A 14,727-nucleotide genomic window follows, 5' to 3' on the forward strand; every position below is an offset into this window, starting at 1 on the left:
TCATTGTCTGTGATGGAGAAAGTGGCTGTTCTAAGCAGTCCTACCTGTCCTCTGAACTCAAGGTCCTGACTGTCACTGTGTACCAAATCCTTTTCCCCAAACTCAGAACCTGGCCTGGGTTCGGTCAAGTGTTAACTTCTAATCTAAACAGCTGTGGCCAGAGGACTGAGGTTACTTGCCATTACTCATTGAGCAGGCCCACCCTATCCCTTAGGGACAGTCATCTGTATAAATGAATCTCTCATTGGTAGATACTGCTGGTATGGGCCTAAAGGGTACCACAGTTCACTCTGATCTCATTAATCTTGATGGAATAAGACTAACACATTGAAGAAATGGATTCAATAATTATAAGCGTCTGTAATTTTAGTCCCTGTATTTAAAATTACAAAAGTGGCTCAACACTTCTTTCCTGTAAATAAGTGGTTTTGTTGATATGAATTTTGCCATGGGAAAATAATTGCATATGGACATTTTTGACAATATCTTGAGGTATGTTTCAAGTTGCCTGAGACTGTATATCTTCTGTGCATCTTTCTGTAGCATTCAGAATATGTGATCACAAAATTGCAATTTAAGAATGTGTGCATTTCTTCTGGAATGATGGGGAGTCCTGAGTGAGAAAGCAATAGTTAGAAACTATGCCAGGTTAAAGGTAAAGGCATGGTTGAAGCCAAACAGACTGGAGCTTTGACAGTGATTCGATGAGATGGCTTCAGGTCCAAAGTGACAGTGTTTGGCTAATGCTGAAGGGATTCCACACTTTAAACTTCTTTTACATGGTTGTGCACAAATGCCACGATGACCTCCAAAGAATGATAACACATAGGAGTCCTAAAACATTGTCACCTAATTTGGTGAACATAAATGCATACAAATGCAGTGACAGTGATCTAGACTTCTAAATATTTGACTCAGGTAAAAATTCAGGAATAGAATAGAGGCCAAGTTTCTGCTTTTATTCATCTTAATTTATGCCCAAATTCATCATATGGCTCAGACCTTATCCCAGTGGTGTGTTAACTATGCCCACATTTCTATTTGTTTTAAGATAGGCGTTTGCAAGTCCTTTGTCACCAAATTCAAAGGTAGGGTACTACCACAAGATTAAAATGCCTGCAACAAAGTACTCTCACATTCATCAAAAATGATTAGCTATAATTTGCATCAAATCTTACTTCATTGTTTTTATTTATTACCCAATAAGCCATAATCTTATGAAAAACAGCTTTCAAGATACCTCATTAATCTAATTTTTGTTTTATTTAATAAATATTTTATTTTACTTAAACATTTACACATGTAAGCATTTTTAAAACACTAATTTAATCATAACAACAGGACTACCAGATGAGTAAGTAATATTATCCCCATTTAGCAGATAAGGAAGCTGAGGCCCAGAGAGGCTAAGTAATATGCCCAAGGTTACAAGTTAGTGAGTGGTTTAACAAATAACAGCATTAGAGTGTGTTTTATCAACATCTTCTGAAGGTTCCCCTACACAAACAGTCCTCTTTAATATAATATTAAAAATTCTAAAGTTCTTTCCTGTTGTCATATTTGATTCTCAACACCCCATGAGGTTAGCCTTAGGTAACCTCATCTGTTTACAGAAGAGACAGGATCCCAGATGTTAGAAGATTTCCCAAGGCTGTGCAAGCTGGTAAGAGATCTAATTAGGATATAGTCAGAACTGACTCTTCTGACTCCTCCTGGTTCAATTTCTTGCTACTAATCCACAAATCTAATATGATATTCTGGTTGTCAGCTTGCTAAAATGGCAAGGCCTTCATTAGCCTGAAGATGTCCTCATATAAATAAATGCAGCTCTTGCTACATATAAAACACTTACCTGGTCTCTTGAGCTAATTCTTGTTGAGGAGAGGAGGGTCTACCTATCAGCAACTGAACCTTTTTCTGGCAGAGATAACTTTCCCCATTAAAATAACACATTTTCTAGGATGGTCAGGGATGCCAGCTGAGCTCTGATGCTCCTTCCCTCTCATCATTTTTGCCCCACCAAATGGACCACCAAATCCCAAAGCAGGTTCATTCCACTGATGAGTTCTGCGACTGCCCTACGCCCTGAAGTGCCAAACCTAGTGCTCAGGAATGTGGAAGATGAAAGTTGTAGGAACTCTGTTATTGGTTTTGTTGTTTTTGCTTGTTTGTTTTGCTCTCTTCTCTAGTTCCGTATCAGGAGTTTTCTAGCTCCATGAAATAAGGTAGAAACTTTTCCTTTTCTTTTTTTTTTTCTTTTTTTGCTCTGAAATACTTTTTAAAATACATATTTGATAAGCTCTCTGTCATAAAACTACTAGGGTTTTAACTATGTTTTTCAATTATTTCAAAAATTACTTGTTGATTCTCATGTTTATTTCTTCTTAATTTTAGTCTTTTATAATTTTTGCATATATTCTGTAAGTCAAGAGCCTAGAGTTTATTATGAAAGGCTTCGTGATGATAATGCTTTTGTCGATTCACAGGCTTCACAGGGGCAGGAAGATTCCCATGCAAGGAAGAACCCCTCAGTTCACACTGAGGATGGTGGTTCTTTGAGGGGAAGTAAAGGTCCAGTGAGACCATCCTTGGATGAAGGATTGTGGCATTGAAGCTTCACATAGGATCTCCATCCAGCTCCTTCACGTTATCATTTATTCATTCAATTAGCAGTTTTTGATCATCTACCATGTGCCAGGAATTGTACTAGTTAGGGATTCAAAAAATGAATTAGACTGCTCTCGGGCCATTCATAGTTTAGAGAGTAAGAAAGACACGTGAATGGAGTAGTGAATGCTCAGAACAGCAGTGGAGGTCTCTTAAAGAACAATGCTGTGACTGCACACAGTGCACGTGCACATATATCACAGACCAGGAGCTGAAAGTAGAGATAAACAAATATTTATTATGAGCGTTGGTTTCCAGATGATTTTTATGAGTCTGAGAGCAAGTTTTAGAGGCATCCTAGCCCACATATCTGTTTAATTCTACTCTCATTTCCTTCCTGACTATTCAGATAAGCCTTGGCTATATTGCAGTCACATTTAGCTAAGTAAATATAGTTTGCAGAAATCCAGTTCTCTTTAAGCAAAAAGTGTGCATGATTATGTCAGTACTTTTATATGTTTATCTGAGGCCATCTTCCCTCCATAAACAGGGTTATTTGCTTTGCTGCCATTTCAGTGTTTCAGGTGGATATTTTTTGTTTTACCTCAAGCTGTTTATCAGTAGGCAAGGAAACCATTCTCTATAGTCCTGTGTAATTACGTAGCTCTGGAATCTAAAACAACATTTATAACTCCTTTGTGCCTGCTGGAATTTTTCAGGTGAATGGAAGGGACGATTTATCAGTGCTTGTTTTACCTCATATCCATATTGTAGACCCAATTTATGGCTTATCATCCCAATTATCTCAATTTTTATAAGAGCAAATGCCAATATCAGAAGAGATAAAGTTTTCCTTCAAACTGAAGGAACCTTCCTACAGGGAATCAGGAGCTTTTGCCAGGCCTGTGAGATGGTGGTGTGAGCACTACAGAACAAGTGGTAGTGACAACTGTGACAACTGTGAGCTAACTGTAAGCTACTGAAGGCAGGGCCATATGATATCATCTTACATCCTCTGCACCTAGCCCCATGGCTGGCACAGGGTGTAAATGCCAATATGTGCAGGATGCGATGTATATTTTAATATATTTCACAGCAGGGAATAACAGTGGAAAGAATTCTAAAGCATTTGTTTCATTATTTTAGTTCAAAATATGTTCACTGTTTACGTGCTTTTTCGTTTCTGTAGTAAGAGAACCTAGATCTTCGGTTTTTGAGCTTACCTTTCTGATGTCATCTTACAGTGTAAACCTTGTGCTTTAGTAAACATTATATTTCTAAAGTATTTCTTTGTACCAGGACATTGAAGAAAGGTGAAAAGATTTCATGTTTGGTATATGTATTAGTTATCAATTACTGAATAACAAACTATTTCCAAAGTTTAGTGACCTAAAACAACAAATCTTATCTCACAGATCCTGTGGGTCAGGAATCGAGGCACAGCTTAGCATGCTCCTAAACAAGATTCTGTCTCTGACAAGAGAAGATGGTTCCTGTAGCTTTATCAGTCTGTTATATGTCATCAAACACATTCTTGACAGACAGGCTTACATTTATAAGTCGATTTTCTACTTTGTGACATTTCTGGAGTTTGGAAATAAACCATTTATTTCTGTGTCCTGAAGGAAATAGGCAATCAATAACTGTAGTTTTTGTTCCTGGAAAAGGTAAAATGTGACCTTCATATTTGTTGAATAAGCAAACAATCTGGGTTCATTTTCAGGAAGGCTTATCAGGGTGTTTTCCAAACATACAAATATAAAACCCTCCTGGGCAGTAAAGAAAGTCAGTCTATTGTCAAGAAGCACTTCATATTAATAACAATAATATTTGAAATAGTAAGGAATCAAGAAGGCAGAATAAGTGAGGGCTGGGATGGAGTTGATTCACATGCCTTCTCTCAACTGGATTTCCCAAGTTCCAATTCTCATGAATCCTTAAGCTCTCTTGGAATCAAGGAGCGGTCCAAAGATGATCATAAAATGGAACAATTTCCAAAGTTGGTATTGGATACAGACATCTGCCTATGACTACACCAGGTGCAAAGGAGGGAAAATGAGAAGGAGACAAGGAAAGGGAGTGCTACTGTGGCTTCGTATGGTTCTTTGGTCTACACACCTTGACCACGCATTGATGATCCTTCCAATGGCCTCCCAGGTCCAGGCACACAGGCTGGCTCTCAGCCACATCTCTGACTCCTCTGTCTCACCCCCTCACTGCAGCCACGCTAGCCTGCTGCCACTGCTCCAAAGTCCCAGCATGCACCTGGCGTTTACTCATCAGAGCCTGGCGTTACTCATCTTTCTGTTTGGAACACTCTTTCTGCAGGTAGCCCCATGGCTTGTCTCCTGTACCTCACTCAGGTCTCTGCCCAAGTGCCATTTTCCTTGAGAAGTCTTTTCTGACCAAAAAAAAATTTTCCCTCTGTCAAAAATAGCACTACTGTCACTGTCCATCCCATACTCTGCTTTATTTTTCTTCACAGCACATAGCTTCAGATATATTATATTTCACAAGCTTATTATTATTCTCCCTTAGTTAAATCATAGGCTCTCAGAGCTGAGAGGTCGACTCTTTCATTCACTGCTGAATTCCCGGAACATGGATCGGTACCTGCACATAGTAAGTACTCAATCAATTTTTGTTGAATAAATGAGTTGAATGCTCACTCTGTGCCAGGTACAGTGACCAGTGATTTCCATACATTGTGTGCTAATAACCCTCACAAGAGCTGCCAGGCAAGATGCCATTATCATTATCTCCATTTTAGGGCTCAAGAACTCAAAGAAGTGAATAAATTATCCAAGATTGCCTAGAGAGTAAGTGACTGATATGGATCTTGAGCCCAGGACAGTCTTATTCTGAGCTCTTAACCAATTAACTTTCTTAAATTAAATGATTATATGAATACAGTCAACCCTGAGGTAGTAGCAGAATTTCCTGTCAAATTGTATATATCACAAGGACTTTGCCCAGTTCCTACTGGTGAAAATGCCACCTAAATAAGATAGAAAACCACCTCCAGGTTGGCATTGGCAGATTCTGTCAGTGCTATAAGTGAATTCCTTCCCTCCTTGTAGTCCTGCCATCTCTCTTGTTCAGGAAGTGAGCTATCAAGAAAAAGTTTTGGAGAATGTTCTCTAATTTGAAAATAAAAACCAGAAAAACAAACTCTCTTTGTAATTACAGGAAGATGGAAAAGGAGGATATTTAAATAACACATCAGCTTCCAATGCCAGGAAAAGGCTGACTTATTCCAGCATTAGCCAGGTCAGGTGATTGGCACTGGGAATGGAGTGCCCAGCAAGCAGATCCTCATTCCAAAAGCCTGCCAATGCCCAATCTGCAGAAAGAATTTTGAAGATTAGGGAGCTTGTGTTGGTCTTGGGAATGGAGTGGATTTCTTTTGTTTTGTTCTAGCAATTCTTTATTAATCATTTTCTGTGTGCCAGGCACCATGCAATACATATTACATGCATTAACTCCTTAAATCCTCAATAAGAGCAAGGATTTGAATTATCAGTGCATTCATCATTTAGAAACACCAATGTTTGCTCAAAATATTAGCAAATGAATGTGCAGTGGTCATTGTACATCAGTCTATCTGACCTCTGATGCCAAGATATTCTGGGTTCCTTCCCTACAGTATGTATTGTTAAACATTTTTCTACCCATGGATATATTTTAAACAAACCCCTTTAAGCTTTTCTGTCTAGTGGCCAGGTACAGTGGCTCATGCCTGTAATCCCAGCACTTTGGGAGGCCAGCATGGGTGGATCATCTGAGGTCAGGAGTTCGAGACCAGCCTGGCCAACATGGTGAAACCCCATCTCTACTAAAAATACAAAAAATAGCCAGGCATGGTGGCAGGCACCTGTAATCCCAGCTACTCGGGAGGCTGAGGCAGGAGAATCACTTGAACCCAGGAGGCGGAGGTTCCAGTGAGTCGAGATCGTGCCATTTGCACTCCAGCCTGGGGGACAAGAGGGAGACTTTGTCTAAAAACAAAACAAAACAAAAACTTTTCTGTCTAGAGATGGTGAGTTCTTTTTTTTTTTTAATTAATTAATTTATTTTTTTATTATTATACTTTAAGTTTTAGGGTACATGTGCACATCGTGCAGGTTAGTTACATACGTATACATGTGCCATGCTGGTGTGCTGCACCCACTAACTCGTCATCTAGCATTAGGTATATCTCCCAATGCTATCCCTCCCCCGTCCCCCCACCCCACAACAGTCCCCAGAGTGTGACGTTCCCCTTCCTGTGTCCATGTGATCTCATTGTTCAATTCCCACCTATGAGTGAGAATATGCAGTGTTTGGTTTTTTGTTCTTGTGATAGTTTACTGAGAATGATGATTTCCAATTTCATCCATGTCCCTACAAAGGACATGAACTCATCATTTTTTATGGCTGCATAGTATTCCATGGTGTATATGTGCCACATTTTCTCAATCCAGTCTATCATTGTTGGACATTTGGGTTGGTTCCAAGTCTTTGCTATTGTGAATAATGCCGCAATAAACATACGTGTGCATGTGTCTTTATAGCAGCATGATTTATAGTCCTTTGGGTATATACCCAATAATGGGATGGCTGGGTCAAATGGTATTTCTAGTTCTAGATCCCTGAGGAATCGCCACACTGACTTCCACAATGGTTAAACTAGTTTAGAGTCCCACCAACAGTGTAAAAGTGTTCCTATTTCTCCACATCCTCTCCAGCACTTGTTGTTTCCTGACTTTTTAATGATCGCCATTCTAACTGGTGTGAGATGGTATCTCATTGTGGTTTTGATTTGCATTTCTCTGATGGCCAGTGATGGTGAGCATTTTTTCATGTGTTTTTTGGCTGCATAAATGTCTTCTTTTGAGAAGTGTCTGTTCATGTCCTTCGCCCACTTTTTGATGGGGTTGTTTGTTTTTTTCTTGTAAATTTGTTTGAGTTCATTGTAGATTCTGGATATTAGCCCTTTGTCAGATGAGTAGGTTGTGAAAATTTTCTCCCATTTTGTAGGTTGCCTCTTCACTCTGATGGTAATTTCTTTTGCTGTGCAGAAGCTCTTTAGTTTAATTAGATCCCATTTGTCAATTTTGGCTTTTGTTGCCATTGCTTTTGGTGTTTTAGACATGAAGTCCTTGCCCATGCCTATGTCCTGAATGGTAATGCCTAGGTTTTCTTCTAGGGTTTTTATGGTTTTAGGTCTAATGTTTAAGTCTTTAATCCATCTTGAATTGATTTTTGTATCAGGTGTAAGGAAGGGATCCAGTTTCAGCTTTCTACATATGGCTAGCCAGTTTTCCCAGCACCATTTATTAAATAGGGAATCCTTTCCCCATTGCTTGTTTTTCTCAGGTTTGTCAAAGATCAGATAGTTGTAGATATGCGGCATTATTTCTGAGGGCTCTGTTCTGTTCCATTGATCTATATCTCTGTTTTGGTACCAATACTATGCTGTTTTGGTTACTGTAGCCTTGTAGTATAGTTTGAAGTCAGGTAGTGTGATGCCTCCAGCTTTGTTCTTTTGGCTTAGGATTGACTTGGTGATGCGGGCTCTTTTTTGGTTCCATATGAACTTTAAAGTAGTTTTTTCCAATTCTGTGAAGAAAGTCATTGGTAGCTTGATGGGGATGGCATTGAATCTGTAAATTACCTTGGGCAGTATGGCCATTTTCACAATATTGATTCTTCCTACCCATGAGCATGGAATGTTCTTCCATTTGTTTGTATCCTCTTTTATTTCCTTGAGCAGCAGTTTGTAGTTCTCCTTGAAGAGGTCCTTCACATCCCTTGTAAGTTTGATTCCTAGGTATTTTATTCTCTTTGAAGCAATTGTGAATGGGAGTTCACTCATGATTTGGCTCTCTGTTTGTCTGTTGTTGGTGTATAGGAATGCTTGTGATTTTTCCACATTAATTTTGTATCCTGAGACTTTACTGAAGTTGCTTATCAGCTTAAGGAGATTTTGGGCTGAGACAATGGGGTTTTCTAGATATACAATCATGTCATCTGCAAAGAGGGACAATTTGACTTCCTCTTTTCCTAATTGAATACCCTTTATTTCCTTCTCCTGCCTGATTGCCCTGGCCAGAACTTGCAACACTATGTTGAATAGGAGTGGTGAGAGAGGGCATCCCTGTCCCGTGCCAGTTTTCAAAGGGAATGCTTCCAGTTTGTGCCCATTCAGTATGATATTGGCTGTGGGTTTGTCATAGATAGCTCTTATTATCTTGAAATACGTCCCATCAATACCTAATTTATTGAGAGTTTTTAGCATGAAGGGTTGTTGAATTTTGTCAAAGGCCTTTTCTGCATCTATTGAGATAACCATGTGGTTTTTGTCTTTGGCTCTGTTTATATGCTGGATTACATTTATTGATTTGCGTATATTGAACCAGCCTTGCATCCCAGGGATGAAGCCCACTTGATCATGGTGGATAAGCTTTTTGATGTGCTGCTGGATTCGGTTTGCCAGTATTTTATTGAGGATTTTTGCATCAATGTTCATCAAGGATATTGGTCTAAAATTCTCTTTTTTGGTTGTGTCTCTGCCCGGCTTTGGTATCAGAATGATGCTGGCCTCATAAAATGAGTTAGGGAGGATTCCCTCTTTTTCTATTGATTGGAATAGTTTCAGAAGGAATGGTACCAGTTCCTCCTTGTACCTCTGGTAGAATTCGGCTGTGAATCCATCTGGTCCTGTACTCTTTTTGGTTGGTAAGCTATTGATTATTGCCACAATTTCAGAACCTCTTATTGGTCTATTCAGAGATTCAACTTCTTCCTGGTTTAGTCTTGGGAGAGTGTATGTGTCGAGGAATTTATCCATTTCTTCTAGATTTTCTAGTTTATTTGCGTAGAGGTGTTTGTAGTATTCTCTGATGGTAGTTTGTATTTCTGTGGGATCAGTGGTGATGTCCCCTTTATCATTTTTTATTGTGTCTATTTGATTCTTCTCTCTTTTTTTCTTTATTAGTCTTGCTAGCGGTCTATCAATTTTGTTGATCCTTTCAAAAAAACAGCTCCTGGATTCATTGATTTTTTGAAGGGTTTTTTGTGTCTCTATTTCCTTCAGTTCTGCTCTGATTTTAGTTATTTCTTGCCTTCTGCTAGCTTTTGAATGTGTTTGCTCTTGCTTTTCTAGTTCTTTTAATTGTGATCTTAGGGTGTCAATTTTGGATCTTTCCTGCTTTCTCTTGTGGGCATTTAGTGCTATAAATTTCCCTCTACACACTGCTTTGAATGCATCCCAGAGATTCTGGTATGTTGTGTCTTTGTTCTCGCTGGTTTCAAAGAACATCTTTATTTCTGTCTTCATTTCGTTGTGTACCCAGTAGTCATTCAGGAGCAGGTTGTTCAGTTTCCGTGTAGTTGAGCGGTTTTGAGTGAGATTCTTAATCCTGAGTTCTAGTTTGATTGCACTGTGGTCTGAGAGATAGTTTGTTATAATTTCTATTCTTTTACATTTGCTGAGGAGAGCTTTACTTCCAAGTATGTGGTCAATTTTGGAATAGGTGTGGTGTGGTGCTGAAAAAAATATATATTCTGTTGATTTGGGGTGGAGAGTTCTGTAGAGGTCTATTAGGTCCGCTTGGTGCAGAGCTGAGTTCAATTCCTGGGTATCCTTGTTGACTTTCTGTCTCGTTGATCTGTCTAATGTTGACAGTGGGGTGTTAAAGTCTCCCATTATTATTGTGTGGGAGTCTAAGTCTCTTTGTAGGTCACTCAGGACTTGCTTTATGAATCTGGGTGCTCCTGTATTGGGTGCATATATATTTAGGATAGTTAGCTCTTCTTGTTGAATTGATCCCTTTACCATTATGTAATGGCCTTCTTTGTCTCTTTTGATCTTTGTTGGTTTAAAGTCTGTTTTATCAGAGACTAGGATTGCAACCCCTGCCTTTTTTTGTTTTCCATTTGCTTGGTAGATCTTCCTCCATCCTTTTATTTTGAGCCTACGTGTGTCTCTGCACCTGAGACGGGTTTCCCGAATACAGCACACTGATGGGTCTTGACTCTTTATCCAATTTGCCAGACTGTGTCTTTTAATTGGAGCATTTAGTCCATTTACATTTAAAGTTAATATTGTTATGTGTGAATTTGATCCCGTCATTATGATGTTAGCTGGTTATTTTGCTCGTTAGTTGATGCAGTTTCTTCCTAGTCTCGATGGTCTTTACATTTTGGCATGATTTTGCAGCGGCTGGTACCGGTTGTTCCTTTCCATGTTTAGCGCTTCCTTCAGGAGCTCTTTTAGGGCAGGCCTGGTGGTGAAAAAATCTCTCAGCATTTGCTTGTCTGTAAAGTATTTTATTTCTCCTTCACTTATGAAGCTTAGTTTGTCTGGATATGAAATTCTGGGTTGAAAATTCTTTTCTTTAAGAATGTTGAATATTGGCCCCCACTCTCTTCTGGCTTGTAGGGTTTCTGCCGCTGTTAGTCTGATGGGCTTCCCTTTGAGGGTAACCCGACCTTTCTCTCTGGCTGCCCTTAACATCTTTTCCTTCATTTCAACTTTGATGAATCTGACAATTATGTGTCTTGGAGTTGCTCTTCTCGAGGAGTATCTTTGTGGCATTCTCTGTATTTCCTGAATCTGAACGTTGGCCTGCCTTGCTAGATTGGGGATGTTCTCCTGGATAATATCCTGCAGAGTGTTTTCCAACTTGGTTCCATTCTCCCCATCACTTTCAGGTACACCAATCAGATGTAGATTTGGTCTTTTCACATAGTCCCATATTTCTTGGAGGTTTTGCTCATTTCTTTTTATTCTTTTTTCTCTATACTTTCCTTCTTGCTTCATTTCATTCATTTCATCTTCCATTGCTGATACCCTTTCTTCCAGTTTATCGCATCGGCTCCTGAGGCTTCTGCATTCTTCACGTAGTTCTCGAGCCTTGGTTTTCAGCTCCATCAGCTCCTTTAAGCACTTCTCTGTATTGGTTATTCTAGTTATACATTCTTCTAAATTTTTTTCAAAGTTTTCAACTTCTTTGCCTTTGGTTTGAATGTCCTCCCGTAGCTCAGAGTAATTTGATCGTCTGAAGCCTTCTTCTCTCACCTCGTCAAAGTCATTCTCCATCCAGCTTTGTTCCCTTGCTGGTGAGGAGCTGCGTTCCTTTGGAGGAGGAGAGGCGCTCTGATTTTTAGAGTTTCCAGTTTTTCTGTTCTGTTTTTTCCCCATCTTTGTGGTTTTATCTACTTTTGGTCTTTGATGTTGGTGATGTACAGATGGGTTTTTGGTGTGGATGTCCTTTCTGTTTGTTAGTTTTCCTTCTAACAGACAGGACCCTCAGCTGCAGGTCTTTTGAAGTACCCTGCAGTGTGAGGTGTCTGTGCCCCTGCTGGAGGGTGCCTCCCAGTTAGGCTGCTCGGGGGTCAGGGGTCAGGGACCCACTTGAGGAGGCAGTCTGCCCGTTCTCAGATCTCCAGCTGCGTACTGGGAGAACCACTGCTCTCTTCAAAGCTGTCAGACAGGGACATTTAAGTCTGCAGAGGTTACTGCTGTCTTTTTGTTTGTCTGTGCCCTGCCCCCAGAGGTGGAGCCTACAGAGGCAGGCAGGCCTCCTTGAGCTGTGGTGGGCTCCACCCAGTTCGAGCTTCCCGGCTGCTTTGTATACCTAAGCAAGCCTGGGCAATGGTGGGCGCCCCTCCCCCAGCCTCGCTGCAGCCTTGCAGTTTGATCTCAGACTGCTGTGCTAGCAATCAGTGAGACTCCGTGGGGTAGGACCCTCCGAGCCAGGTGCGGGATATAATCTCGTGGTGCGCCGTTTTTTAAGCCCGTCAGAAAAGCGCAGTGTTCGGGTGGGAGTGACCCGATTTTCCAGGTGCCGTCCGTCCGTCACCCCTTTCTTTGATTAGGAAAGGGAACTTCCCTGACCCCTTGCGATTCCTGAGTGAGGCAATGCCTCGCCCTGCTTTGGCTCGCGCACGGTGCACACACCCACTGACCTGCGCCCACTGTCTGGCACTCCCTAGTGAGATGAACCCGGTACCTCAGATGGAAATGCAGAAATCACCCGTCTTCTGCATCGCTCAGGCTGGGAGTTGTAGACCGGAGCTGTTCCTATTCGGCCATCTTGGCTCCTCCCCCAGTGAGTTCTTTTTGAAACTGTTCATGAGCATTTAACTAATGCTTTAAAAATCCTTTCTAAAATTGTGCTTTGAGCACTTGCATTTAAATTTGAACTTTTACTGCCACATAGTTGAGGACACTGATTCCAACTCCATCTGAAGGAGTGTGTGCTTTGTCAGTTAACTGGTGTATGCACAAGCACAAATCCTACTTTGGAGTCAGATGTTGCCTGCTCATATTGCTTCTCCCATATGACTTCAGCAGCATAGAGACAACAGGGGCTTCTACCATGCAACGCAATGACCTCTGTATGATTGGGCTCCTTTCACTCTCATTTTCACTCACCAGCACACCCAAAGGCATCCGCTACAGTACTTACAGAGGTATTGACCCTCGATGAGCAGGGGTGGAAACGAGCATGCTAGAATCTTAGAGGAAGGGTCCTGGAGACTCAGAGAAATCCCATAACACTGGGCCCAACACCCTCTGGGCAGAGTCACAACATTTTCAAAGAACAAGGATCACTTTTTAGTAAAATATAAATAAAAAACTTAAGGACACAACAGTTCCCATTTAAAAGGGAGTGGGGGCAGGTAGGTTAGGATCAAAAGCTGCTGAGATAGAAAAGTCAATAGTAAATAAACCTTCAGTAATAAGCCAACAACCAGATGGCCCCTCTCACTTTCCTTAGAAGCCAGCAGAGAGCGGTGTTGTCATGCACATGTGCTCATTCGCATCCAGCCTGTCTGAGCTCAAGTTAGCCTTCCTAGAAAAGGATTTGATACAGGGAAGACAGTTTAAGGCAAGGTAGAAAGCACTACATGCAGGGTCAGGAGATTAGGTTTTAACCCCAGCTGCACAGCTTCGCAAGTCACTCTTTGTGAATCAGTTTAGGGTCTACTAAATGTATTGAATGCGGCAGAGGAGGGCTGGACTAGTAAAAAAAAAATGGCATTCCGTTTATTGAGTACTTGCTGTATACCACTTCATGCTAGGTCCTTCCAACAGCAGGAGTTCAAATCCGATCTCTGCAGCACATTTAGTATCCATGTGATTTGGGGGCAAGTTACTAACCTCTTTAAACCTCAGTTTCCTTGCCTACAGATTAGCCATAATGGATCCACACAGGATTCTTCTGAGGATTAAACTAAGTAAATGCACTCAGCACAGCGGCTGGCACATGTAATATTGGCAACTATTGTCATTTACTAGTTCCGTTTCATCTTCACAACAATCTTGTAAGGTAGTTAGTACACTTTCCCCATAATATAAATGAAGAAACTGAGGGTCAGGGAGGTTCAGAATTGACTTATGGTGACCCAGCTCAAAAGTAGTATAATCTGGATTTTAATCCAGATGCAATCTTTCTACTATACTCTACTAAACATTCTTTTTTCAAAATTTTGACATATACAATGCATTTTTCTTTATTAAATTCATCATTCTGCACTGTAGATCATTAAAACTTATTTCTCCTGTCTAACTGAAACTTTGTGCTGATTAATCAACATCTTCCCTTTCCCCATTCACCCCCATTCACCCCATCCCCTAGCCTCTGATAACCACCATGCCGCTCTCTACTCCTATAAGTTTGAGATTCTACTGTTTCAGTTTCTACATATGGGTGAGATCATGTGCTATTTATCTTTCTATGCCTGGCTTATCTCACATAGCATAATGTCCTGCAGGTTTATCCATGTTGTCACAAATGACAGAATTTCCTTCCTTTTTAAGGCTGAATAGTATTTCAGTTAACCATTCTTAAAGATATAACACACTGTGTTTTAACTGCTCCATCTTTTTGGTCTATAATTTAGCAATGGAAATAGTCCAGTTGGAAGGGGAGACAGACTGGCATTCATAAGATGTTCGAAGCTAAGCAAGCCTTACTAGGGTCAGAGCAAGCTGTAAGTAGAGTCAGCTTTAAAACTTGCAGTTTGAAATGAAATGCTATAAACCATGCTCTTAGCTGCTTTTTCTTGTTTTGGCCCACTTTTGTTCACCCCTCAAAGTATTTGTTGAAACTAATTCCCTTAAGAGGA

The 14,727-nt window shown here is 40.5% G+C and overlaps 1 annotated feature.

Annotated features, from left to right (window-relative positions):
• Positions 11,906–12,443: an enhancer, noted in NCBI's record as "NANOG-H3K27ac-H3K4me1 hESC enhancer chr5:121850537-121851074 (GRCh37/hg19 assembly coordinates)". NCBI's record gives its function as "activates a minimal SCP1, AML or CMV promoter by ChIP-STARR-seq in naive and primed H9 embryonic stem cells {active_cell/tissue: H9 hESC(naive and primed)}" and the evidence as "EXISTENCE:reporter gene assay evidence [ECO:0000049][PMID:30033119]".

Source organism: Homo sapiens, chromosome 5, assembly GCF_000001405.40.
Source record: "Homo sapiens chromosome 5, GRCh38.p14 Primary Assembly".
Taxonomy (NCBI): domain Eukaryota; kingdom Metazoa; phylum Chordata; class Mammalia; order Primates; family Hominidae; genus Homo; species Homo sapiens.